General features: G+C 35.1%; 1 protein-coding gene across 13 annotated transcripts in view; it reads left to right on the top strand.

Moving 5' to 3' along the window:
* EXOC6B (exocyst complex component 6B) overlaps window positions 1-27,816 on the top strand; it is a 650,050-nt gene that overhangs the window by 300,539 nt on the left and 321,695 nt on the right. For 12 of the 13 annotated variants that reach the window (NR_135774.2, NR_135773.2, XR_007071495.1 and 9 more), the window contains 5 exons: window positions 10,369-10,452; window positions 10,815-10,861; window positions 12,243-12,363; window positions 25,523-25,594; window positions 26,944-27,041. Coding sequence is in view for 10 of the 13 variants with exons in the window: in NM_001321734.2 (NP_001308663.1) it covers window positions 10,369-10,452; window positions 10,815-10,861; window positions 12,243-12,363; window positions 25,523-25,594; window positions 26,944-27,041 (422 nt within the window). In the remaining 3 variants the exon portion in view is untranslated. Of the gene's footprint in view, window positions 1-9,737; window positions 10,060-10,368; window positions 10,453-10,814; window positions 10,862-12,242; window positions 12,364-25,522; window positions 25,595-26,943; window positions 27,042-27,816 lie in introns of those variants that run through there. The other variant, XM_005264224.2, reaches the window with a different exon arrangement.

The following is a 27,816-nucleotide window of genomic DNA, read 5'->3' as shown; positions in this document are numbered from 1 at the left end:
TGTTCTAGCCAGGTAGGTAAGTTGTAATTTTAAGCAGTTTGGTTTGCTAAGTATGATTAAGAACCATTCCCTTTGAGGTTTACCCTTTCGCTTCTAAGTTACAACTGTTTATCATCTTGGGTCAAAGGTTATAAAAAGTAGTCATCAATTAAAGCTTTATTGGTTGTAATTGGTAATGCTATGAAAGGAGCCAGCCAAACTGAATCTGATAATAAAAGACTCTTTGTTAAAATATTTAATAAATTAACACTCTGTCTTGGAAAGGGGAAGCTAATTACAAAGGCCAAGATTGTTAATCATAATGTTTACTTTCTTCAAAAGCACAGACTCAACTACTCCATAATCATCAAACATCAGATTTCTTTCTTTTCTTTTTTTAAAATTCTGCAGACTCTGTCGGTCCCCGGAGGGGATGCTCTCCTATGGCTCATGCTTGGGATATAGCAGCAGGAGGAAATGCCAAGACAAACAGGTTATAAGGGAACCTTAAAAATAAACAGGGCTCTGTTAGAACATCAGACTGCCTCTACTCTCTTCAAATAAGGGTCACTAGTTTATGTAGATTAGTTCTGTAGGCTAATTGAGTGATAACAAGAATTGGGGCCTTTGGAAGTAATGATATTTTTAATGATAAATTATCTATCAAAGCAAGTATCCTTTCTCCATATACAGTTTTTTTGTGAGGTGTTTTGACAATGTTGTGGCTCTTGAAGTTTAGACATTTTTCTTTTTAATTTTTGTGGGTACATACTAGGTGTATATATTTGTGGGGTACATGAGATGTTTTGGTATAGGTGTGCCATGTGAAATAAGCACATTATGAAGAATGGGGTATCCATCCTTTCAAGCATTTATTCATTGAGTTGCAAACAATCCAGTTACATTTTTTAAGTTATTTTAAAACATACAGTTAAGTTTTTTTAAACTTTTATTTTAAGGTCTGGGGTACACATGCAGGTTTATTATATAGGTAAACTTGTGGTTTAGACATTTTTCAAAGCCCTAATACATAGAAATGGAGCTGTGACACATACCATCATGACTCTTGAATGACCTTGTCATGGGAACACTGTGAATTGGATTTTACATCTGGGAATTCAGTGTTCCTAGATTTAAGCAATAGGGGGCATCTTGGGTTTGTTCTTTTCACATATTTTTGTAGTCTAATCTTTAGGGCAGTTCTAATGAAAGAAAATTCTGCTTTGAGCCTGCTGTGCAAATTAGCCATATGGTGAAGTGTAATATCCCGCTGAACATCATTATGGGGCTGTATGAAAAGTACTCCCCTTTTCACATGGAAGCAAATTAAAATGGCCCTTTCAGTTTTTTTTTTTTTTTTTTTTTAAACTCTGTATAAACCTGTCTTCACTTGGATGCCGTGACAGTTAAAAGGGAGTTCCAGCTGCAGTCAGGGTGGTGAAATTACAGGCTTTCCCCAAGACCTAGTGGAAATATTGCTTCCTGTAGGCAGAAGCGGAAGAATAATGGTGTGTGCTTCCCTTCTTCCTTTCCCTTCCCTTGTTCTTTGTATGGTTGTCCTTAGTTGCTTCTCAATCCAAGAGTTAATTTTCTGTTATTGTGACAGATGTGAAGAACTCAGCCCACTCTCCAATAGACCCCATACCAATGTCTACCAGGAAATAGCCAGTAGATAAGGAGCTGTTTAGCCAAATAATGGCATAGTAAATCTTTTTTTTTTTTTTTTTTTTTTTTTGAGATGGAGTCTCGCTCTGTCGCCCAGGCTGGAGTGCAGTGGCGTGATCTCGGCTCATGGCAAGCTCCGCCTCCCGGGTTCACGCCATTCTCCTGCCTCAGCCTCCCGAGTAGCTGGGACTGCAGGCGCCTGCCACCACGCCCGGCTGATTTCTTTTTGTATTTGTAGTACAGACGGGGTTTCACCGTGTTAGCCAGGATGGCTACGATCTCCTGACCTCGTGATCTGCCCGCCTCGGCCTCCCAAAGTGCTGGGATTACAGGCGTGAGCCACCGCGCCCAGCCGTAAATCTTAATGAAGAGAATATAAGGTCTGTCCCTTTCTGCCTGCTGTGTAGATATATTGCCCATATGAAGTAGTATTTCTCAGTATAAATTTTTTTTCCCTGCAAAAATAAGGATGTAAGATGCCACTAATGTTTAGAGGCATGGAGCTCAATAATGGTTTGAAATGTTCTGGATGTCTGTGTATATGATGAACATTGTCACATTTCATGAAGAAAAGGAAATCCTTGGAAAGGTGTTTCATCTGGCCGTTTCTTTCTCTCCCAAGAATGGGATCATGTGATTCTGACTTATTTGATTACTGGTGTACATTTGTAACCTACAGCAGCTAAAATTCAGCTTTGAGTTTTATTAGTAGTAAATTTTACTACTTTTATATGCAAAAACAAGCCTCATTCATTTGCCCATATTGAGTGGCCTGTGTTTTTATCCAGACAAGTGTCTGGACACATGGAGAAGAATTCAAAGTTGTCACTTGTGTTTTTATTTTTATTTTTAAGCATTCATTCAGAGCCCATGTTAGTTCTAGCATTTGTATGGTGACAGTTTGTAGCAATGTGTTGGAAGAAAAGGAGTTGGAACACTGTTGTGGAGTGAAAGTGGATCATGCTAAATTATGATGCTGGAGAACAGATTTTTGTATGCAAAGTTCAATGAAAAGAGTATATAGAATATGACCTTATTTATATGCGTGTATATGTACATTACATGTGAAATAGCTATCTATTTAGAAAAGGGGAAAGTCTGTAAGGATATTAGATCTTGGTGAATGGGCTAAATGCAAACCACAAACAAAGCCTGAAAGAAAGTATGATCTAGAAAGATGTCATCTTGCTTAAAATAGAGTTGGGAAAACAGAACAGTATAAAACAAAACGAGATCTGAGAAAATATATCGAATAGGGAGTACATCAAAAAGTAAGCATTATGAGATCATGAATGGCTTTCATTTTTTCTTTTTGCCCAATTTGTGTTATCTAGTTTTTCTACAAGTCACATATTTTACTTTTGTAATAAATGACTTAAAAAGATAAACAACGTAGAAAACACAGCTATAAACAAAAGGTTAAAAAAAAAGAAACTATTTCCAATGTTGCCTGAGAAGTGTGTTATTTTTTGATAAAACCCAGTGATAGGATTAATTATTAGACTTCGGGAACAGCAATGGCTTTTGGAGCATTTGACCATTTGCGCCCTTCCCCAGGTAGTACATAGGGTGTGATATAATATTAAATATTTAAATTAAATATGAATTTAGTAAATCAAGTAGCCAGTGAATTGAAGAAGAGCTTAACAGGGCTTGGAGAATATTTTTTCTCTTGTTTGGCCACTAAGGAAATATAGGATATGTGCTGTGGTTATTTAGCCCTTCTTATATCATTTCTTTTTAACTAAATGATAAAAAAAATTGTTGTGGAGATTTCTTTATAATAATACAGTCTTTAGTATTTAGGTTAAATTCCAGATGGTATATATGGATTCAATATAAAAAACTTTAAACTGGCCGGGTGCAGTGGCTCATGCCTGTAATCCCAGCACTTTGGGAGGCCAAGGCAGGTGGATCACAAGGTCACGAGATTGAGACCATCCTGGCTAAGATGGTGAAACCTTGTCTCTACTGAAAATACAAAAAATTAGCCGGGCGTGGTGGCATGCACCTATAGTCCCAGCTACTCAGGAGGCTGAGGCAGGAGAATCGCTTGAACCCGGGAGGCGGAGGTTGCAGTGAGCTGAGATCCCACCACTGCACTCCAGCCTGAGTGACAGAGCGAGACTCCATCTCAAAAAAAAAGTTAAACAAAGCCTTGCTTGCCTTCTATGTCTGTCTTTCTTAACTCTTACCAAAATACTTTAGATGCATAAAAATCTGAAAAGTTACACCATTAATAAGTAAGGCTGATAATTAACATTTTGTCTGAATTTAAGTAAAATTTTCTCTGTTGGGCCAATTGACTGGATTGAGAAATCTAGCTGTTAGGTGATGTGTTTTGCTGTTATAAACAGAGCAAATTGTAAGTCAGAAGATATTTTTTACCTTTCCCACTGTATGCCTTCTAGCTTGAAAATAGGATCCTGAATTTATGAATACATTAGCCAGTGTCTTAGTCCATTTGTGCTGGTATAACAAAATACCACAGATTGGGTAATTTATAAACAATAGAGACTTATTTCTTAGGATTCTGGAGGCTGAGAAGTCCAAGATCAAGGCAATAACAGGTTCTTTTGTCTAGTGAAGGCTGCTCTTTTCTTCTAGATGACAACTTATTGCCTTATCCTCCAGAGGGAGGAATGGAGGGGAGGAACTCTTCTGCCCACATGGCAGAAGAGATGGGAGGGTGCAAACCCACTCCCTCAAACTGTTTTATAGGGTCCCAATTCCATTCATGAGGGCCCTACCCTCATCACTTAATCACCTCTTAAAGGCCGCATCTCTTACTACTATGTTGGTGGTTAAGTTTTAACATGTTAATTTTGGGGGACACATTCAGACCATAGCAGTTGGCAACCCTTGTGGTGTGTGGAGTTTCCATTTTAAGCTCTCAGAGTATGGGATAAGGGGAATTGGGGAATTGGGGAATTGGGGTACTGCTGGTGGCTGTACAGTTCATCCTGTGCTGGAGAATATTCAAAATAATAGTGCCATACAAGAGCACATATAGGAAGATCCTGTATTAACTCTGGTTTTTATTCAGTTTAAGAAGTTCAGATTATTAAACACTGGCAACTGTGTGGCAGGAGAATATTTGCTCATATTTTATAGGCCAATTGCTTGCTGGATGCTGAAATCAGTTTGTAGATTGCCTTTGGCATGTCTTTGGACCTGGGCACATCAACCTATGAGTTGCCACTTCCATAATGATGTTAGATCTATAGCCAGATAAATGGTGAATGGGCTAAATGCAAACCACAAACCAAGCCTGAAAGCTCCTCTCATTCAAAATAGAGTAAATGGGAAAACAAAACAAAATGTTGTCTGAGAAAATGTATTGAATAGAAGGGATCAAAGAACATCATCCTAAAAATCCAGAAGAAATGTGATGCTAAAAGTGATTTTCTATAGGAATCAAAAGAAAATTCTTAAAAAGAATTGCCTCTATGAAACAGGAACAAAAAACTTTAGAAGAATAAATGGAGATCGAAAAATTACATGAGGAGATGAATAGGAATACTTACAAGTAAATGATTATTGCAGTAGGAGATGAAGGGCAAATATGAAAGTAGAGGCTTATAATAAATTATAGATTAATAATTTATTCACACTTTTGATCATTTATTGAAAATTGCATACCAGTTATGTGTCTGGCATTGTTGTAGGAGTTGGGAATACAACAATAAACAAGATAAACTGAGACTTTTTCTCATGGAGCTTGCATCCTAACAAGAGGAGACAGACAGTAAACAATATCAGATGGAGATACGTGCTAACTGAAGAATTAAAAGGGTTATGTGTTAGGGAAAATTTTCCATTTTAAGCTGAGTAGTAGAAAAGTCTTTTCTAAGTAGTTGATGTTCAAAGTTATGTTTGAGTTATCAGAAAGAGCCACACATTTCCTCATGGCCCATGTCCTTTGGAGTTTTGTGCTAGGTTCTTTTGTACTTTAATTCTACAAGCATTTCTTAGAGCCCTTTCTCTAAGGGCCTTTATTACTATCTCTCTGCTAATGATTATGATTCTCTTAAGCTATAGACGCAAATATGTCAGTTCCCAAACACTTGGCACTTGGAAGTCATCAATTAAATATGCCCAGTACAGAAGTCATCATTATTAATCTTCCCAAATATAGTCAATTCTCATTATTCGTGATAGTTATGTTCTATAAAGTCACTGGAAACACTGAGTGAGCGAATACTGAGCCATTGCTTTTAGGAGAAATACAGGTTTAGTTTCCTGTGAGCTTCTGGTCACATTTTCATCAACCAATGAATGCATAACCTTGATTTATGAGTGTTTCTGCTTAAGGACATGTTATTTAATATATCTTGTTGATTCATTAACATTGAACTCATAGCGAACAGCACTATACTCATGCCTGAGAGGAGTTTTATCTACCATGTTGGTTTTCACTGTAAGGCACATCACAGTTTTCTTGTGCCTTCTTTCAAAGGCACATATTGTTTCTTGAGCTTAGGAACACTAGACAGCACGTTGGTACTATGGTTGGGGGCCATTTTAAACAGCAAAATCATCAACAAAAAGTGCAAAAATGTAAAAAATGTGGCACTGGATAGACTATGAAAATGACACCCGTTTACAATATGAAAACTAAAATAAGAAGGCAGAGCATTGCCTTGTTTAAACCTTAGCTAGGAACATGTGCATTAGGCAACTCAAATTTTTCACCCCTCTGCACATGTCTGTTGAATGACTATGAAAGAACTATGAGTATTGCTTTTGGGTTTACAAATAAATTTTAGCAAGTAGGCAAATTCACAAATACAGAATCTGTGAATAATGATGTACTGTTTATTCCATCTACTTATGTTCCCTCTCTCACAGATGAAACCACTGTCAAACCAGTTACCCAGGTTAGAAACTTTGTATCAGCCTTCTTTCCTTCCTATTCTTTATCACCCATATCCAATTAATTTCCAGCTTAAACCTCCTAAATACGTCTCAGATTCTGACTGATCTTTTCAATTTTAATTTTTCCCTTTCTTTACTCTCTGCAGTACAACTTCCAAAATATCTAAAACTCTTATGGTCGCTACAGTACAAATACCTTAACATAATTTATGAAGCTTTCCTGCCTCATCTCTTGTCAGCCCTGTACTTTACACCTCAAGTTCCAGCCATGGAGAACTTCTTTCAGATTCTTAGGATATGTGATGCCTTTTTTTCCATTCAGCCTCTTTGTCTCCTCCAGGAACACTTTTTTCCCTTTCTCTCTTTCTGGCTTATTCTTCTGACTCATTCGTCAATTAGAAGTATAAACATCATTTTTCGAAGAAGCTTTCGTTGACACTTCCCCCACCCACCACACACACACACACACACACACACACACACACACACCCTACTTTAATCCATAGGATTCTGTAGTTCATTTTAATATAATTGCTTGTTTGTCAGTCTTCCATAGTCTATAAATTCAGTAAGTACAGGTACTGTTCTCAGTGTGCCAATCACATGGTAACCACTTAGTATATATTAAGTGACTTGGTTTTTGGTGAGATTGTGTGTATTAACACAAAACTTTTGGAGCAGTGTAATACTAATGATATAAAGTAGGAAAAAATCCAAGTTTTACTTGCCTGCTTATTGTTTTATATCTATTTGCTTATGTCTTCAGCAGCTTTTTAAAAAATGTTAATGATTGAAAGAGCTTGGAGCTTAAGTGAAACCTCTGTAGCTCATCTAGTGACCTCTCTGTGAATAGACAGGCACTGCACCAATTACTCAACTGGACTGGTCAAACATCTACGTCTCAAATTCCACCTTTAAGTATTGAGTTGACAAAATTGGCAGAGGGAATAGAATAATGAAAGGTGAATTTAGCAGCCACTAAGGAAACTCCAGCTCATTTTTGTAAATGGGAAGCCAGACCTATTAGATAAATTGGTCTTGTCTTTTGTTTTTATCCTATTGAGGAATACTTGAAAAGCAAAGCTACACCCAGTTTAGAATTAAGTAGAAGTTCATGATTTGGTTTTTATATAGAATTCCATCTTATGTATTTTCTATCATTTATAACAAAAAATTAAATGAGTATAGTGTGGTATAATTAGAGGAATGCTTTCTCTAAATTCTCAAGTAAGTGTGTCTTGGCTCCAAAGCATATTGAATATGTAATGTCACACTACAATAATAAAGGTCCTTTAGGGCTGTTAACCTTAAAATAAAAAGCCCTTTAGTGTATACAGAATGTAATTAAGATTTAATAATACTACTATGCTGTGAAATGGTGACAACTTGAGAATAACTTTAACAAACCAACTAACAGTTTCCTCTTATTTCTTAAATGGAATCATTTGCCTCCTCATTAATGTATGGATGAAAAAAGCTTTGAAATGCTGTCCTAGTGTTCGATTTCATTTTCTAGGAAGGAAAAACTCGGGTGTATACAGTTATAATCACTTTAGAACTTTAAAACTGTTGTTTTTAAGCTACACCAGGGTTCAACAAACCATAACCCATGAACCAAATCCAGCCTGTTGCCTGTTTCTGAAGGGCCTGTGAACTAAAAATGTTTTTTACATTTTTAAAATCAAAAGAAAAGGAATATTTAATGAAAGGTGAAAACTGTGCAAAATTATAATTTGTTTCCATAAACAAGGTTTTATTGGAACACAGCCATACTTGTTTATGTCTTGTTTATGGCTGCTTTTGCACTACACCAGCAGAATTGAGTAGCTGTCCACCAACCCCTCATATATTTACTATCCTGCCTTTTAGAGAAAATGTTTGCCAACCCCTGAGCTACATTAGTGTCTTTCCATGACTAGTACCTTAAGTCGACTTTCCCAATTTTTTAGGACCAGTTTGGGAATCTAACAAATAAATCATCTTGAATAAAGTTCTTCAATTTTTCAGGAAGGCAGAGGAAAACTAAACTAGGTATTGCGTGGCATTTATACTTTTTTTAGGTGGGCAGGGCTTTTACTTTAATCATTGATTTTATCTTATTTATTTTTAAAATAAGCGCTTGCATGAGATACTGTTCTAAGAGCTTTATAACTCCTCTAAATCCTCATTACAACCATATGATGTTGGCATCTCTACAAATGAGAAAACCATGGCACACTTATTAGTGAAAGTTAAATAGTGGAACTTAAATTAGTGGTAGGAAGTTATAGTGCTATTTATAGCAGTTGTACAGCTAGTAAGGGGCAGAGTCACTATTCAAATGTAATAATAGTCTCTGGTTCCAAAGTCAGTTCTCTTTACCACTGGTATTCTCTCTTTTCATTTTTACTCTTATTTATTTAGAAAAGCTTTGGATTAAGAGTAGAATTCAGGGCCGGGCGTGGTGGCTAAGGCCTGTAATCCCAGCACTTTGGGAGGCCAGGTGGATCACAAAATCAACAGATCGAGACCATCCTGGCCAACATGGTGAAATCTTGTTTCTACTAAAAATACAAAAATTAGCTGGGCATGGTGGCGCACACCTGTAGTCCCAGCTACTCAGGAGGCTGAGGCAGGAGAATCTCTTGAACACAGAAGGCAGAGGTTGCAGTGAGCCGAGACTGTGCCACTGCACTCCAGCCTGGTGACAGAGTGAGATGCTGTCTCAAAAAAAATAAAAGTAAAAATAAAAGTAGAAGAATTCAGTAATAAGTGGGGTGTGATAATCTAAACACACTGAGTTTGTATTCATTTCCTAGAGCTGCTGTAACAAGGCCCCATAAACTGAGTGGTTTAAAACAACAGAAATGTATTCTATCCCAGTTTTGGAGGCTAGAATTCCAAACTCAAGGCATGATAAGGGCCATTTTCTCTCTGAGACTGGGTAGAATCTTTTGTTGTGTTTTTCTAGTGCCTGCTGGTGATCAACAATCTCTGATGTTCCCTGGCTTGCAGCTGCATCACTCTATTCTCTGCCTCTGTCATCACGTGGTGTTCTCCCCATGTGTCTCTGTGTCTATTCTTTTCGGCTTTCAGGACACCAGACATACTCTATTAAGGTCCCACCCTCCACTGATAGGATCACATCTTAATTTAACCAATTACATCACAATGGCCCTATTTCCAAATATGGTTGCATTCTGAAGTTCCACGAAGGACATGAATTTGGAGAAACCACTATTCAACCCAGTACACAGCTCATGAGTCAGATATTATTATGTAGAGCACTTCTCATTTTAAGCCCAGAAACCCTAAACGAAAAGTGGGGCTGTGCACCAGGAATCTTCATGCTTTTGTTTTTGTTTTTTGGGTTTAATCCTGTGCTGGATTATAACCTAAGGGGGAATACTAATTTACTGTTCTCAATTCCTGCTTTTTTCCTGCTTCCCATTGCCCCTTTGTTCATGATTCATTTTTATTCTTGATGTTTTTCTTCTGGAATGTTCTGTGAGTTTTTTAAGGAGCATTTTCTTACCTGTTATCATAACTTATGGAAAGGTTGGTTTCCCTGCATTCTTGTGAATTTGAGACAGTTGATTCAGAAACCAGCTTTGGTGTGCTGGTGATTAAGTTCTGGTAGGTTCCTTGTAAGGATATTTTGTACACATCCTTACAGGTTTGTAACTAAGGTTCAATACATGGTAATAGTTATTTGTATTTTCTATTGTTATCATCAATGTTAAAATAGCAGATTTTGAGAAATGTGATACTACCTCAAATTCCAGACCTGGGACCTTCTCTTTTCCCTTGAAATAAAAGAGTAATTGGTCCAATTGTGTCAACCCATTTTCTTTTCTTTATTTACAGGGTGCCCGGGAAACATTTGAGAATTACTACCGAAAACAGAGGCGAAAACAGGCTCGTTTGGTACTTCAACCTCCATCTAACATGGTAGGATTACCATCTTCACTTTTCTCACATTTTTACTTTTCCTCCTTGATGTCTTTTGATGCGTGTGTGTGTGTGTGTGTGTGTGTGTCTGTGTGTGTGTGTTTACTGTCATTCTGAGACCACTTTTGGTGGATGTGACTTGCAGTAAGAAAACATTTATTGATTGCTGTGTGTCTGGCACTGTTCTAAGTACTAGATATGTGCTGTCATATTTCCTCTTCATTGGTAGATAATATTATTATTTTTACCTTATCAGATATCATCTAGGGAGCTGAGCCTTAAGAGATTAAGTGACTGATTTTAACTTAGTCTTAATGTAACAAAACAGAAACAATAACTTTTTCTTCTTTGCTTTGTTGCAGCATGAAACTTTAGATGGCTACAGGAAGTATTTTAATCAAATTGTAGGGTAGGTATATATATATATATATATATATTTATTTATTTATTTATTTATTTATTTATTGAAATTTATACTCTTTCCATACATAGAGTTGTGAATGTTGGAAAAATAAATCAGGTTTTCCTTAGGAAATTCTTTTCATTTTCTTTTTTTTAATCCTTAAGACAAGATTTGTTTTTGATTTTCTAATGATTTAAAAGGAACACCCTGCTGGTTTCAACTTTATATTGCTGGAGGGCATTTTTGTGGATAAAGTGAGAAAAACATTGAATTGTAATCTTATTACACTTGATGTTTTGTTTCTTTGTTTTTGGTAAATGGAACCAAATAATCAGCAAAAGTTGGCAAACTTTTTCCAAAAGGGCCAGATAGTAAAATATTTTAGGCTTAGTAGGCCATATGGTCTCTTTCACAACTGCTTAGCTCTGTTGTTATAGTGCAAAAGTAGCTATAGATGATACGTAAATGATGAGCATGGCTATGTTCCAATAAAACAATCTTTATAAAAACAGGCAGTGGGCTAGGTTTATCCCATAGGCTATATAGTTTGCCACCCTCATCTAGGGTGTATATAGTGGTACGGAATTACATTTCCCAAATAAACATCCCAATACTGGCAGCTTGTTCTAATTGCAAAATAATGACTTTGCAGTTAAAAGAAAAGGAAATAACTTGGATTCTTCATCAGGTTTATTTTTTTCAGATTTAAATTGTTTCAATGTAATTAGTAGTTATTAAAATATATCATAAAAATTCCCTAATAAAGACTTTTTTCATTAATATGAATATTTAGGCAAGACAATGCAGGCTACATTTTAAATGCATAATAACAAAAAGCCACAAGATTGTTCAAACGTAACTTCACATTTTTGAAACCTTTGTATGATGCCTTTTCAAGACTTTGATGATAGAGTCCACATGATGGGAATTATTTTGATATTTTGTGCATTGGATTCTTAAAATATATAGAGAATACATTATATATATATATGATGTATATATTAGCTTTTATGATCTCTTTAAAATTTGTTTTTTTGAAATGCATTGATGGCTGGGTATTTTCTTAATATAACAAAATTTGCCTCCATTACCTCTACACATTTTCCTCTCTTTTAAACTACTGGATAGCATTGTTAACATTTAATAGAAATTTAATAGAAATGTAACTCTGATCTCTCTAGGAGTGGTTATGAAGATGTCATGATCACAGACATAATTTTTGGTCCAAGTAGTCTGATTTCATTTATTCTACTGAATAAGTTTCTTCAAGAAAAAAATGACCACTAACTTTGCATTTGATGGTATCTCTTAATGCTTGTCAAACCCCAGAGAGAGTAATAAAACTGTAATTTCTGACAGCTGTGCTTTCTTTTTTCCTCAATCTTAGCTTTTTTGTGGTTGAAGATCACATTTTACATACAACCCAGGGCTTAGTAAATAGAGCCTACATTGATGAACTGTGGGAAATGGCACTTTCAAAAACCATCGCAGCACTCCGTACCCACTCGGTATGTAAGAAGCCCAAGGGAAGTTGTTATTTAGAGCTGATTATCTATATATTCAGTGTTTTACTGCTTTAAAATCAACATATGTATGTCTTTGGAATCACTCACTTGGAGCTATAGATGTCCTTCAAAGACATAGAAGTAGCTGCTTCAAATTATCACATTTTCTACCACTGAGCTCACTTTTATAGAAGCCCTTTGCAATAAGAAAATAGCAGCTAATATCTATTGATTATTCTCTCTATGTGTCAGACGTTGTTCTGTTTACTTCATACATATTCTCTTATTTCATCCTCAATACAACCCTAGAAAGGTAGGTATTATTATTATTATTATATTTACCTTATAGTCTGGGAAATTGAACCTGAGAGAGGTTAGGTAACCAGCCTAATGCCATACAATAAGAAGTAGAAGTCGGATTGAAACCCAGATGGTCTGACTCTAGAGCCCATGTTCTTAGCCACTATACCATTTTGCCTTCTATAGTGCCTGTTAATATTATAAACACTGATTTGGAGTTCACAGTTCTACTGTTACCTTTTGAAAAAAAAAGTTCATAACATATTAAGCTGCCCAATGTTCTGTTCCCATGATCTATTGATATATTTTAATGTGGCATATATTTTTGGTGATAATCCACTTTATTTCAGTTATAGAATGCTGGCTCTGAATTCCCTTCCTTCTTTCCTTCCTTCCTTCCTTCCTTCTTTCCTTCCTTCCTTCCTTCCTTCCTTCCTTCCTTCCTTCCTTCCTTCCTTCCTTCCTTCTTTCCTTCCTTCCTTCCTTCCTTCCTTCCTTCCTTCCTTCCTTCCTTCCTTCCGTGTTTCTTAAAGATTGATTATGCTTTGGCAGTGGGAATATGACAATGAACAAGATAGATAGTCTTTGCTCTCAGAGAGTTATATTTTGATTGGAAGAGATATCCAATAAACATGTAACAAGAATGTCAGACAGTGATCATGCAATGCAGACAATGAAAATAGAATGACAGATTAGGAAACAGGGTGTTTGCTTTTGAAGTGGCACTCTGAGATTAGAATATCAATGAGTCACCATTTATGCAAAGAAGACCAATTAAATGATCATTTTAGTCCTAAAGAACAGTAGTGCAAGGGCTCTTATCTCAAAGTGTTTGAGGAATAATAGTGAGGAGTCAATGACGGAAGATAATTTAGCATTAAAACAATTTCTTTAAGTGACTGTAGTATCCATCTAGTTGTGCTAGCTAGAAACTTAAAAATCATCCATGACCCATGAACTCTCTTTTCTAATTAATCAGCAGGTGTTCCAGACAGAGTAAATACTGTGTGTAAAAACCTATTTTAAGGGAACATAGCCCTCTCAGAGACCTGAAAGAAGTCCAGAGTGGATAGAACATAGGGTGAAGTAAGAAAAGAGAAGTAGGTAGATGCCATGTTATTTAGAATCTACTTGACCTTTTAAACAGTGGGCTGAATGGAATGTGTTACGTATAGATGTGTTCAAGGTGAAGGTGGGATAACATGGAGTAAGATGATCAGATTTTCATTTTGAAAGATTGTTTTGGCTTAAGTGTGGATAGTGGATGAGGGGTAAGAATGAATTCAAAAACAATTACTAGGCTAGTCTAGTATTCCAGGCAAGTGATAATGATAGTTTGGGTCAAGGAGTGATAGTAAGTATTGAGAGATATGGTTGAATTCAAGAGATTTTTAGGAAGTAAGATTAATTGTACTTTCTGATGGATTAGATATAAGAGGTAAAAGGAAAAGAACTATCAAGGAAATGCTTAGGTGAATGGTTTCCTTTCTTGGATGATAGTGTTAGCAGTTTTGATAGTTTGGAGCGGGGAGATGATGAGTTTACATTCGAAATGATTACTTTGTGATGCCTTTGTGCCATCTAAGCAGCAAGTTCTAGGAGATTGGTTAATATGTATGTGGGTTTGATCCAAAGAGGATATGTCATTATTGAATATGTTGCAAATATTTCTTTCCTTTTATTTTTGCTTATGGTTTTTGTTATAGTATACAGAACTTTTAAATATTTATATATCTGATAATACTTAAGTTTAATTTTCTCTCATTTTACGTATGTAACCAAGGACTTGATCTGACATTTTTATCATTTTATTCTTCTGTTATAATAAAATCTGGCAAACTTGAAATGTTTTTTACATGTTTTTGTGTGTTCTGAGATTTTTAAAAAGTTGCTTAACTATTTTATAATTAGATTTTTACACATTTATATGTTTACAACCACCTGTTGTTTACTCTCATTTATAGTATGATTAAGGATCTCATTTTTTTTGTAGTGGTAGTGCACCCATTGTCTTCGGATCATTTTTTGAGTGCCTTACTTTTTCCCCATTGAGTTGTATGTTCTAACATATAAACATTATAAAAATATGTTTCTATATTAGAATAGAAATTTTGATTATTAAGAACATTTTAGTCATCATCCCTTGCATGGTTATTATTAGCTTTCTGATATATAAATGTAAAGTCCCTTTTTTAATATATAAATAAACTATACAATATATAATGGGTTTTAAGTAGGAACATGCTGTGTTTTTCATTTAATGTCTGATGAATATGATTTAATTTTAATATATATAATATTGCATTGTAGGATTATATTATTATTTTTAATTGATTCATTTGATATTTTGGGCTTTTAAGAAAGTTTTTGGTTTTGTTTTTTTTCTAGCTATTAAAAGCATTGCAGTAAATACTGTTATAACCATGTCCTTACACATGGTTATGTGTAAGGACTTAGAGCAAGTTCTTAAGAAATGAAAATAGTGAGTAAAAGTATTTGGACATTTCTTAGGTTCTAGGTATTGCTCATTTGCTCTCCCAAACTATTGAACTATTTAACACTCTGAGCAGCATCTACTAGAATGCCTATTTCCCTATTCTTTTTATTCCACAGAAAGTTATGTTTAAAAACAGAAAATAATTTCTAATTTCAGAAATTGTATCTTATTTTATTATGCTTTTAAAAAATAATACTGATATTAGGTCGGGCATGTTGGCTCACTCCTGTAATTCCAGCACTTTGGGAGGCCGAGGAGGGCAGATCATCTGAGGTCAGGAGTTCAAGACCAGTCTGGCCAACATGGTGAAACCCCGTCTCTACTAAAAACACAAAAATTAGCCAGGCATGATGGCATGTGCCTGTTATCCCAGCTAGTCAGTAGGCTGAGGCAGGAGAATTGCTGGAACCCAGGAGGCAGAGGCTGCAGTGAGCTGAGACAGTGCCACTGCACTCCAGCCTGGGTGACAGAGCAAGACTCTGTCTCAAAAAAATAAATAAATAAATAAAAAGAAATAAATAAAGGAAAAATTAATACTGATATTGAAAATCTCTTCCATGTCATTTGTATATCTTCATAGAATTTCTTGTTCATATACATTGTCTTTATCTTATATTTTCATGTTTTTAAATATTTTACTATATATTATTAAAACATGGACATTAGCTGTTAATATTAACCTCATCTGACAATATGTTGTAAATATTTTTTCTTAATTTAATGTCTCTTACCTTTTCTGCAGCTTCAAAAAGTTTTAACGTTTTTGAGTAGTTAATTTTATTGATATTTACTTTATAATTTATGTGTTCTTCATTACAAAGCATATGTGTTTATCTTTATTTGATTTTAGTATTTCTGTAGTTCCTTTTTCTACAACCATAAAAAATTTATTTTAGCATAGGGTATGAGATTGGACTCTCTTTAATTATTTTGAAAATGACTCATCACTTCCAATAACATCATTGTGATAATCTACTGTCTTAGTGGGCTCAGGCTACTGTAAGGAAATATCATAGACTGGGTGGTTTAAATGACAGAAATTTATTTTCTTATAGTACTAGAGAATGGAAGTCAGAGATTAAGGTGTCCACATGGTCAGCTACTGGTGAGGGTTCTCTCCCTGGCTTACAGAAGGCTGCCTTCTCACTCTGTCCTCACTTGACCTTTCCTCAGTGTATGCCTGCTGAAGAAGGATTGCTCTCTCCTTCTCTTTTTATAAGGAGAACAATCCCACTGGATTAGGGCCTCACCTGTATCACTTCATTTGATGTTAATTACCTCCCAAAGGCCCCATCTCCAAATATAGCCATACTGGGAGACAGGGCATTAATAGGTGAGTTTTGGGGGCAGAAACAACAGTCTGTCCATCTCTCCTTTCCCTACATATTTTGAAGGCTACCTTTTATATATTATATTATGTATACACTCAGGTTTATTTCTAGGTCATATGATTTGAATTCTCGCTCCTTGAATCAATACAACATTGTGATTATTGTATCTGACATTGTGTGGCTTAATTTTTGTTTATTTATTTTATTTATTTTTATTTATTTATTTACTTTTTTGAGACAGAGTCTTGCCTGTCACCCAGGCTGGAGCACAATGGTGCGATCTCAGCTCACTGCGACCTCTGCCTTCTGGGTTCAAGTGGTTCTCCTGCCTCAGCCTCCCAAGTAGCTGGAATTACAGGTGCCTGCCACCATGCCCGACTAATTTTTTTGTATTTTTAGTAGAGATGGGATTTCGCCATGTTGGCCAGGCTGGTCTTGAACTCCTGGCCTCAGGTGATTCGCCTACCTCGGCCTCCCAAAGGGCTGGGATTACAGGCATGAACCACTATGCCCGGCCGGCTTAATTTTTTATAAGATATGTGTATCCTCTTAAATCGTCTTTTTAAAATATGCTATTTATCCCCTTATTATTCTTCCAGTCAACTTGAGAATCACTTTGTTACAACCCTTCCACCTCTAGTCCACACCCCTAAAAATTGAGATATAATTTGGTTGTGCAGTAAATCTGTAGATTAATTGACACATTTCAGGCTCTGGTATTTTTCACCAAAGAAGATATGTATTTTTGTTACTTATTTGCCTTTCATGTCTTTTGGTAAAATATTTAATAATACTTCCCATCAAAGTACTGTTTTTAGGTGTTTTTTTTTTTTTTTTTTTTTTGCGGGTAATATTTTGTGGAAGGTTTTTTTTTCCCCCATCATATTTATTAACTAGTATTACTGTCATTCTGTGGGTGAAAAGTTTCTGATTTTGTTTATTTTATATCTATCCATTTCACTGAATTCTCTAATTTTATTTTGTTTCCTGAAAAAAGTTATCTTTCCTTTAGAAATCAGATTTATTCCATGCACTGTCTTTTTTTTTTTTTTCTAAAGCAATGTTTTTTTGTGTTCCTGATACATTTGGGAATGTAACAGATCTCTAAATCTCGCAGTACAAAAATGCACCCTCTCTTCTTCAGCATGAAATTTTATTTGATACTATTAAGAGCAGGACACTTTTCAAGTGTGCTGATTCTTTTCAAAGTGTAGATCTGTGGAGAACATTAATCTTAAGGGAGTTTTTCTTTGTAGATCTATTGTATATTCTTTTTAACTGAAGAATAAATGACAAAATACCTTCTTTTTAAAAAATCATTAGTTCAGCATTGATCTGTAGAGGTAAAAAGTAGACTAGTGGTTGCTTAGGGATTAAAGAGGTGATAGCTAAAGGGTATGTATGGAGTTTCATTTTATTATTTTAATTTTAATTTTTAGTTCTGGGGTACATGTGCAGGATGTGCAGGTTTGTTACATAGGTTTCATTTTAAAGTAAAGAAAATTTCCAAAGTTTGACTATGATAAGGGTTGCAGATACCTGTGAATATACAAACAATTAAAAACTATTCAATTATGTACTTTAAATGGGTGAGTTATATGGTATGGGAATTATATCTTGACAAAGTTATTAAGAAACAACTCAGTATTAACACAGATTTACTCATTGAACCATTTTATACGTTAAGAGACAGAGTGTTGGTACCACAAATGCTCACTGTATTTCATGACACTATTTATTTTATTAGTAGTACCCAGCAAACAAAATAAGAACAACCCAAACATCAAATCAAATCTCAAAAACACTCTGGCTATGTGACTACATTATTTATCAAATGTGTCTATATTTTCTAGCATTATATATGGCTGTTTAAAATTACTCTTTACTTTTTCTGATTAAATTATTAGTATAAATTGAAACATTTTGAAAGATTCAATATTTCATGTATTAATATGTGCAACATTCTCAGTGCTGATTTCAAAACATAAGATCTTACATAATCTACTTCACTTAGTAAATTTAGCAATATATTAAAAGATTTAATATGCCTAGTATAAAGGAGAGTTCATTTCAGGAATGGTTCAATATTAAAAGATCTGCTAATATGATTGTTAATGATAATATGATAATACTGAAAAGATATTTTTAAGATTCAACTATACTAATCAACCTAGTCCTTCAGTCCAAAATATGAACAAATAGCCAAGAGTCATAAAATATTTGAAGAAAACCAATTATATCACATGGGAGACAACAATAAACAAATAGAATGGCCGTTCTTTAGCAAATACAAATTATGGGCTGGAAGAAAAATTTACAAAGTAATATTTATGATTTTAGGAATGTAGAAGACTAGGTTATTAATACCAATCCCTCAGCCAGAAACAATTGGAAATGCTGTATTTTATATATAAGATATTCATTTAAGTCTTAAAGTACTTAATAAGGATAGTAAGGAATTACTCAGCTAAATCGAAGGGAAATAAGTAGATAGATAGGTTAAACACTCAAGCTGCCTTTTCGTTGAGGTAACTTCTTAGTCCAGAGTTCATAACTCAAACTTGGATTTTCACAGCCTCTTGGGCCTATTCAAGATGGAGAGTCTAATCTGCTGCCCTTCCCCCATTAAGCTGGAAAGGGCTATTCCTTTCAGGATAAAGGTGAACCAGAAGTAGAAGAAAAAACAGTCAAAATTCTTCCATCAAAGAAATCTCCTATCTAGGCAGTTTTATCTTCAATTTTGTTCTTACATAAATACTCAGAGAATAGACACAAGGAAATGCCAATTCATCTTAATTTTTTTTGCGTTTTTATGTTTTTTTCTTTTCTCAATCCTGCTTCTTCTGTAGCAACTCCTTTTATAATGCATACATGATCTTGATAATGAAACCAGATGAGGGTAGTATAAGAACTTGTAAATGCATAAATATAGATCAGACTTATTTATAAATATAAATCAGGAATCTTAAAATATTAAAAACAGAATCCAGCCATTTACAACAAATATTAATATATTTGGTTGAGTTTCTAGTAGCAAATGCTAGCTTAGTTCAATATTACAAAGTGTATTAATATAATGCACTTAATTGCAGGTTAAAAAACAAAAAATATATAGTCATTTCAGTAGATACAGAAAAGCAATTAATAAAATGCACAATAAACTTATGGTAAAATTTCTTAGTAAATTAGAAACTGGAGAGAATTCCTTAAACTAATAAAAGCAGTCCTCCAAAACGTATTCAAGATAGTCAGGACCCCTGTGGAGAAATTCTAAAATGTCATTCAGAAATTAAAATGGGTTAAAGAAGACCTAGGTAAAAATGAACCATGTTCATTGTTTGGAAGAGTTATTATTACAGTGATATCAGCACTTTCAAAATTGACCTATAGATTTAATTTAGTGTCAATCAAAATTTCAATAGTTTTATTATAGGGAAGATGGGTACCTTACAACCTAATTATAATATTTCAAACTAGTACAAAAGCCAAGAGCAAGTGAGAGATTCCTTAAGACTGAGAATAATGTATTTGGATATCAAGACAATTGAAAAATCATATTAAGATCCTCTGATATGGTCATTGGATAGATAATGGACCTTCAAACAGTCTCACACATATATGGATCCTTGGGATATATATTAGGTGGCATAGGAGGTCGGTGGCATAGGAGGTCATTGGATAGAAGACAGACTTGAATGAATAGCAATGGGACAGCTGACTGTCATGATGGAGGAAAATATACACCAAAGATTGAATTTCAGGTGGATAAAATATGAAAATGTGAAAGCCAAAACCATAAATCTTTTAGAAGATAATATGAGAAATATCTTTATGATTCAGGATATGGAAGGAGTTCTTAACTGAAAACTAAAAGCACTATCCATAAAGGAAAAGATTCAGACACAAAACATCAAACTACAATAAAATTATAAGAAAAAAACCTCACAAAAGAGTAGGAAAATATGCCACTTAGTGAAAAATGGTATTTGTATATAACAGCACGAACTAATTTGGAATATATGAAGAATTCCTACCAAATCATTACATTAAAGATAGACATCTCAAAAGAGAAAAAATGAGCAAAAGACAAACAGTTTACCAAAGAAGGAATCCACCTGGCTGGGAAAACATGTGAAAGGTGTTCAGTCTTCTTAGTATATTGGTAAAATGCAAATTAGAACCAAATGAGGTAACATTATTCAAGAATTAACAGTACTAATGTTGATAAAGATATGGAGCAATAGAAACTCTGATACACTACGAAGGGAATAAGTTTAAATTGATAAGACACTTTGAAAAAGTGTAATATCTTATAAATTTAAAGATCCCCATGGATCAACTTTTCTCTAACTATATTCTCTTCAGTAATTTGCCATAATACACCATAATAAACATGCAAGAATATCTTTCCAGCATTGTTGGATTTTAAAATGAGAAATGACTTAAATGTCCATCAGTAGTAAAATAGATAATCTGGGTTAAACTCAAACATTGGATACTAGAGAGCATGAAAATAACCAAAGTATAGCTATATACAATAGCATTCATGAATTTCACAAGTACAATGTTAAATGAAAGAAGCGAGAAAGAAAATTATACATATGGCTTATTTCCACTTATATAATGTTGAGAGAAAAAATATTGATTAAGTCTCAGTATTTAGGTGGATACAAATTAAGGACAATAGGAGAATGAAAAGACTAGCTACAGACTGAGAGAAATCTTTGCAAATCACATATCTGATAAAGGACTGCTGTTCTAAATATACAATGACGTCTTAAAATTAAACAAGAAAACAAGGCCAGCCATGGTGGCTCATGCCTGTAATGCCAGCACGTTGGGAGGCCAAAGCAGGAAGATCACTTGATTCCAGGAGTTTGAAACCACCCTGGGCAACTTAGTGAGACACCATCTACAAAAAAAATTAAAAAATTAACCAGACATGGTTGCATGTGCCTGTGGTCCCAGCTACTCTAGAGCGTGAAGTGGGAGGATCTCTTGATCCCGGGAACCTGAGGCAGTAGTGAGCCACGATCGTATCCCTGCAGTCCAGCCTGGGAGACAGAGTGAGACCCTGTCTCAAAAAAAGAAAAAAAAGAAAGATGCTCATCATCCTATGTCATCAAGGAAATCCAGAACACGAACCACACCAAATGCTGGAGAGAATGTGCAGCATCAGGAATTCTCATTCATTGCTAGTGGGAATGGAAAATGGTACAGCCAGCTTTGAGGACAGTTTGACAGTTTTTTATAAAATGAAACATAGTCTTACTATATAATCTAGCAGGTGTATGCCTAGGAATTTTTCCAAATGAGTTGAAAACTTACTTCCACACTAAAACCTTCACACAGATGTGTATAGCAGCTTGTTTATAATTGCCAGAACATGGAAGCAACCATGTTTGTCAGTGGGTGAATGGAGAAACAAACTGTGGTACATTCATATAATGGAATATTATTCAGTGATATAAAGAAATGAGCTATCAATCCATGAAAAGACACAGAGGAACCTTAAATGCATATTGCTAAATGAAAGAAGCCAATCTGAAAAGGCTACATACTATATGATCCCAACTATATGCCATTCTGGAAATGGCAAAACTATGGAGACAAGAAAACTATCCCTGTTGCCTGGGGGTTGGGAGATGGAGGTATGGGATGAATAGGCAGAGCACAGGGTATTTGGGGGACAGCAAAATAGTTCTCAATGATAATATGATGGTGGAACATATCAATTTATGTATGTTAAGTCCCATAGAATATATAACACAGAGTAAACCCTAATGTAAACTATGGGTTTTGTTTAATAATTTTGTGTTGATATTGGCTCATCAGTTATTAATTGTACCACAGTACAATTGTTATATAATATTTCAAACTAGTACCAAAGCCAAGAACAAGTGAGAGATTCCTTAAGATATCCAAGTTATTATAACAGGGGAAAAATGATGGAAGCAAGCCAAAGGATGGTATGAATCCAAAGTAAAAATTGGCTTCTTAGAAGTTTATGATGATAAGAATTGAGATATTTAATTCAGAGATTAAATAGATGAGACTGTATATGATGCTGATCAAGAAGATAAAGTCAAATGCTGACCCCAAAATACAGAGAGCAAAGACACAGAGACAGAAAATAGGAAAGGAAAGTTAAGAAACAAGAATAGTTGGTGTAGACTTTTGGTTGTATCTAATAGAGATTTAGAAAGGAAAGACAGTGACGAAAGAAGGGACTGTAGTAATAAAATAAAAGAAGGGGAAATTCCAGTGTAGTGAAAAAAGAGCAGATTCTTAAAGTTGGAAGGATACATTGAGTGTCAAACAGGGTAAATGGCGGGAGACAATTTTTTATATTGGAAATTTTGTATTTTAGTTAGAGGGCAAAATAAAGGCATTTTTAAATATGTGAGGATTCAAAGTTTACTCTTTACCCATCCTGTATTTATTTTTATTTATATTTTTGATATATAGTCTCACTTTGTTGCCCGGGGTGGGGTGCAGTGGTGCAATCTCTGCTCACTGCAACCTCTGCCTCCCGGGTTCAAGCAATTCTCGTGCCTCAGCCTCATGAGTAGCTGGGACCATAGGCATGCGCCACCATGCTCAGCTAAGTTTTGTATTTTTAGTGGGGATAAGGTTTTGTCGTAATGGCCAGGCTGGCCCAGAGTTTCTGACCTCAGGTGATCTGCTGGCCTTGGTCTCCCAAAGAGCCAGGATTACAGGCGTGAGCCACCACGCCCAGCCTCTTTACCCATCCTATCTTCTAGAACTTCTTATTCTTCAAAAAATAAAAACAAAATCCAAAATATCAGATGAGATAGGATTAAATAAAATGTATGCCAAAAATTAGTACAATTCATAGATAAATCTAAATGACGTATTATTATTTGTAATTAATGCTATTAATTCCTACAAAAGGAGAGACATCATGTTTAAGAGTTTTTTTAGGCCAAGTGTGGTGGCTGATGCCTGTAATTTCAGTACTTTGGGAGGCCAAGGCAGGCAGATTGCTTGAGCCCAGTAGTTTGAGACCAGCATGGGCAACATAATGAAACCCCATCTCTACAAAAAATAAAAAAACATTAACCAGGTGTGGTGGCTTGTGCCTATAGCCCCAGCTACTTGGGGGTACTGAGGTGGGAAGATTGCTTGAACCCAGGGGGTCAAGGCTGCAGTGAGCTATGATCCTGCCACTGCACTCCAGGCTGGGTGACAGAGTGAAACCCTGTGGGAAAAAAAAAAAAAAGTGTTTTTTTTCTGTTTTGTTTTGGTTTTTTTTTTGGTTGTTGTTGTTTTTTTAATGAAGACTCAAAATTTTACTTCAAGTAAATAATGGGCAAAAAGGATATAATTTATTAACCATGAAAAGATAATTAAAAAGAGCTGACCCAATAAAAACACTAGTGGAAATTTTAAAAAGCATATCGAAAAGTGGCTTGACTACTAGGTTCGTAAATGTCAGTAATCCCAGGTTTATCAATCCATTTGTGTTGCTATAAAGTAATACTTGAGACTGGGTAATTTGTAAAGAAAAGAGGTTTATTTTGCCCAAGGTTCTGCAGGCTGTACATGAAGTATAGTGCCAGCATCTGCTTCTGGTGAGGACCTCAGGAAGCTTACAGTCATGGTAAAAGGCAAAGGGGAGTTAGTGTGTCACATTGTGAGAGAGGGAGCAAGGGCAAGGGGTGGGTTTGCCAGGCTCTTTAAACAACTAGCTCCCATATGAACTCATTACCTCAGGGGAGGGCACTGGGCTACTCATGAGAGATCCAAACACCTCCCACTAGGTGCTACCTTTGACACTGGAGATCACATTTTAATGTAAGATTTGGAGGGGACAAATATCCAAACCATATCACTAGGAAATGACAAAGCATTAAAAAGTTTTATACTATGTTTATAGGAGATATTCATATATTAAGATTAGCTGAAAAGATTGAAAATAAAGAAGGGGAAGCGGAAGTGGTGGTATTCTACAAGGAAAATAGAAATGAAGTTGAAGATCTTAAAATGGGATAGGAGATGGATATTTGGTATCGATACTAGTTTTAATCTAATGAAAAGGTAATAGCCCTTTTATAAGGAAGCATCAATATGTATAAAACAAAAACTGTTAGTAATATGAAGAGAAACGGACAAGCTGCATAATTGTGGGAGAATTCAAAACACCTCTTTCAGGACTTGAGAGACCAATGAGAGAGCAAGTAACAAAAATTATAATTAAAGAATTTGAATCTCAAAATCAATGAATTTTTACAATAATGACATACACATCTTTGTATCCTGCCCACAGAAATTATTTTCCATGTCAGTTAACTTTTCTGATTTGTTGATATGAGGTTATACATGGACATTATTTGTAATTTTTATTTTCCTCTGTACTTATTTTCTCTTTTGTATTTCTCATGTTTTTTATTTTCTCTTTATTGTTTAATCAATTTTGTCTAAGATTTGTTTATTTAATTGATTTTATTTTTAACTTGGTCTTTGGTTTATTTAATCAAATCTTCCATATCTTTTTTAATTTCATTAGGTTCTGTTTTTAATTTAATTAATTTTATTCTCTCATTTACTTATGGTTCATTGGCTTTCCCCCATAGTTTCATCAGTTCAGTGCTTAGTTTGTTTATTTTCAATCTTTTGTGTTTTGTGATGTTTACATAAAGAAATACAAATTTATTTTGAAAATGGTTTTAGCCACATACCATAGTTTTTGATATGAAGTATTTTATAGTTGTTCATTTTTAAAAGTGTCAATTTTGTTTTCTTCTTTAACCAAAGAGTTATTTAGAAGTGCATTTTTAAATTCCCAAGTGTTAAAAATATAGATCATGGTTATTGAACTTGCTGTACTCAGCTGTTCCCTGGCTGAACCTGGTGTTACCTTGTACCAGGGAAGTGTTGAATTATTTCTAGGGAAAGAATTTACCAGGTAAAGAATTTGCCAGATAAAGCGCTAAACAATTAAATAAATAAAAATTTAATTGCATTTTTACTAATAACATGTTTTTCCTCCTTTGTCTTTTATTTACTTTAGTCTTACTGTTCTGATCCAAACCTTGTGTTAGATTTGAAGAACCTCATTGTGCTTTTTGCTGACACACTTCAGGTATGTGATTTCTGTTTACATATGCTCATCTAGATTGGTATTATAATCAGCTCTAAACCTTTTTCTTGACTGGGTCTGGTGGCTTTTGCCTGTAATCATAGTTCTTTGGAAGCCTGAGGTAGGAGAATTGCTTGAGTCCAAGAGTCCAAGACTAGCCTCAGAAATATAGTGAGACTCCATCTATACAAAAAATAAAAACATAAAAAATCACCAGTAGCAGTACCACATTCCTGTAGTCCCAGGCACTCTGGGGGCAGAGGTGAGAGGATTGCCTGAACATAGGAGTCCAAGCCTGTGGCAAGCTATGATCTCGCCACTGCACTCCTGCATGGGTGATAGAGACCCATCTCAAAAAAAAAAAAAAAAATCTGACTGGGTGCAGTACCTCACGCCTGTTATTTCAGCACTTTGGGAGGCTGAGGCAGGCGGATCACTTGAGGTCAGGAGTTTGAGACCAGCCTGGCCAACATGGTGAAACCCTGTCTTTAGTAAAAATGCAAAAATTAGCCGGATGTGGTGGTAAGTGCCTGTAATCCCAGCTACTTGGGAGGCTGAGGCAGGAGAATTTCTTGAACCTGGGAGGTGGAGGTTGCAGTGAGCTGAGATAGTGCCATTGCCCTCCAGCCTGGGCGACAGGGTGAAACTCTGTCTTAAAAAAAAAAAAAAAAAATCTACATAAGCTTGGATAAGTTACCTGTTAGTTTTAAGTTGGGTTTATTATTTTCCTAGGAACTAGGTCTTTTTATCTCTTTTATAGCATTTCCTGAACTTTACCCTGAGCCATTATGTTTTCATATGTAGTTTCCACCTCCTTTTTTTCTCTCACATCAAATCAATTAATTGAACTACTGACTACATTAGTTTTTCAAAATGTTCTTAATTCATATATGGCAGCTGAGTTAGTTTGCAGTTTCTTTAACTACCATCTTGAATAATGGTGGTTGATTTGAACCACATATTATATCTAATAGAATAGCATTAGAAGTGGATGAGATTCGAAGCATTTTTACTTTCTCTCCCTTCTGTGAACGCTTACTATAGGTAGTAGGACTTATAGGAAGGGATGTAGGGAGGACTTATCCCATAGTATACCCTTTATATATAGATTTTAATTTTCATCTTTTTCTCACTGGCTTAAACATTTTGCTAGGTATTATTTAATTTTTGAGAGATAAATGCTAGATATTAGGTGTGAATGAAAGATTCTACTAAATGGTTTTATTTAATTTGCTGTTCAAAGAATGTAATGTTTTTCAGTATCTTATCCCTCTCATTTTGCCAAAAAAAAAAAAAACCGAAAAAAAAACTCCTTCCTTAGACACTGAAGTGATTTTCTTATTTTGTTTCAGGTGTATGGTTTCCCTGTAAATCAGCTTTTTGACATGCTGTTAGAAATCAGAGACCAATATAGTGAAACTCTGCTAAAGAAGTGGGCAGGTATTTTCAGGTGAGAAATTATCTATAGTCATATGTGTGTGTGTTCATGTACATTAGTGTACACACATGTATTTATGCGCAAAGGTTTTCAGATGTTATAGGCAACAAGTATATGTTACTTATATTTTGTAGCTACTCTAGGTTATGATCCAGAATTCAAATAAACTGTTAGAACGTCCAAAATTAAGTTCCCAAGATATCCAGTCTCAGTGTATTAGTGTCTACTGTAGTGGGAAGTCCCCAAACCCTATTTTGCCTTTTTGTTTCCTTCGATAAATATCAGATTCCTTGGTTCATGTCATTCAGATCATCTTGGTGTCATCTTATTCTGTTATTTGGTTTTCATTTTGAGGTTCATGCCTAGTCTACAACTCAATTATAGTGAGTAACATTTGAGCACTTAGGAATAATTTAGGCTTTCGGAAAATCTGTTTGGATGACTCACTCATGTTGTTCCTCATCATCTTCCCTCTCCACACACAGCAAAGGGGCATATTACAGCCCAGTGTTTGAAGCCTGTTATTTAAGTAGTTATTGCAACATGCATACAATAATAAGAAAGTTATTCTGTCACATCTATCACTCACAGATGTCTTCTCGAACTGTGCTCTTGGCACATAATCCAGGTCAACTCATTTGACTTTCTTCTCTTTTTATACCTTTACTCCTTTACTTTAAGTGATTATGCTGCCTATTGCAAGACCCCTTTCCCTGATCAGTTTGTCCTCTTTTCAAACTCTTATAGCTTCAAGATCTTACATTAGTCCTTTACTCTTACTCTTCTC

The sequence above is a fragment of the Homo sapiens genome, chromosome 2, assembly GCF_000001405.40.
Source record: "Homo sapiens chromosome 2, GRCh38.p14 Primary Assembly".
Lineage (NCBI taxonomy): Eukaryota > Metazoa > Chordata > Mammalia > Primates > Hominidae > Homo > Homo sapiens.
The sequence above is the reverse complement of the archived record's forward strand: the minus strand, read 5'-3'. Positions and strand labels throughout refer to the sequence as shown.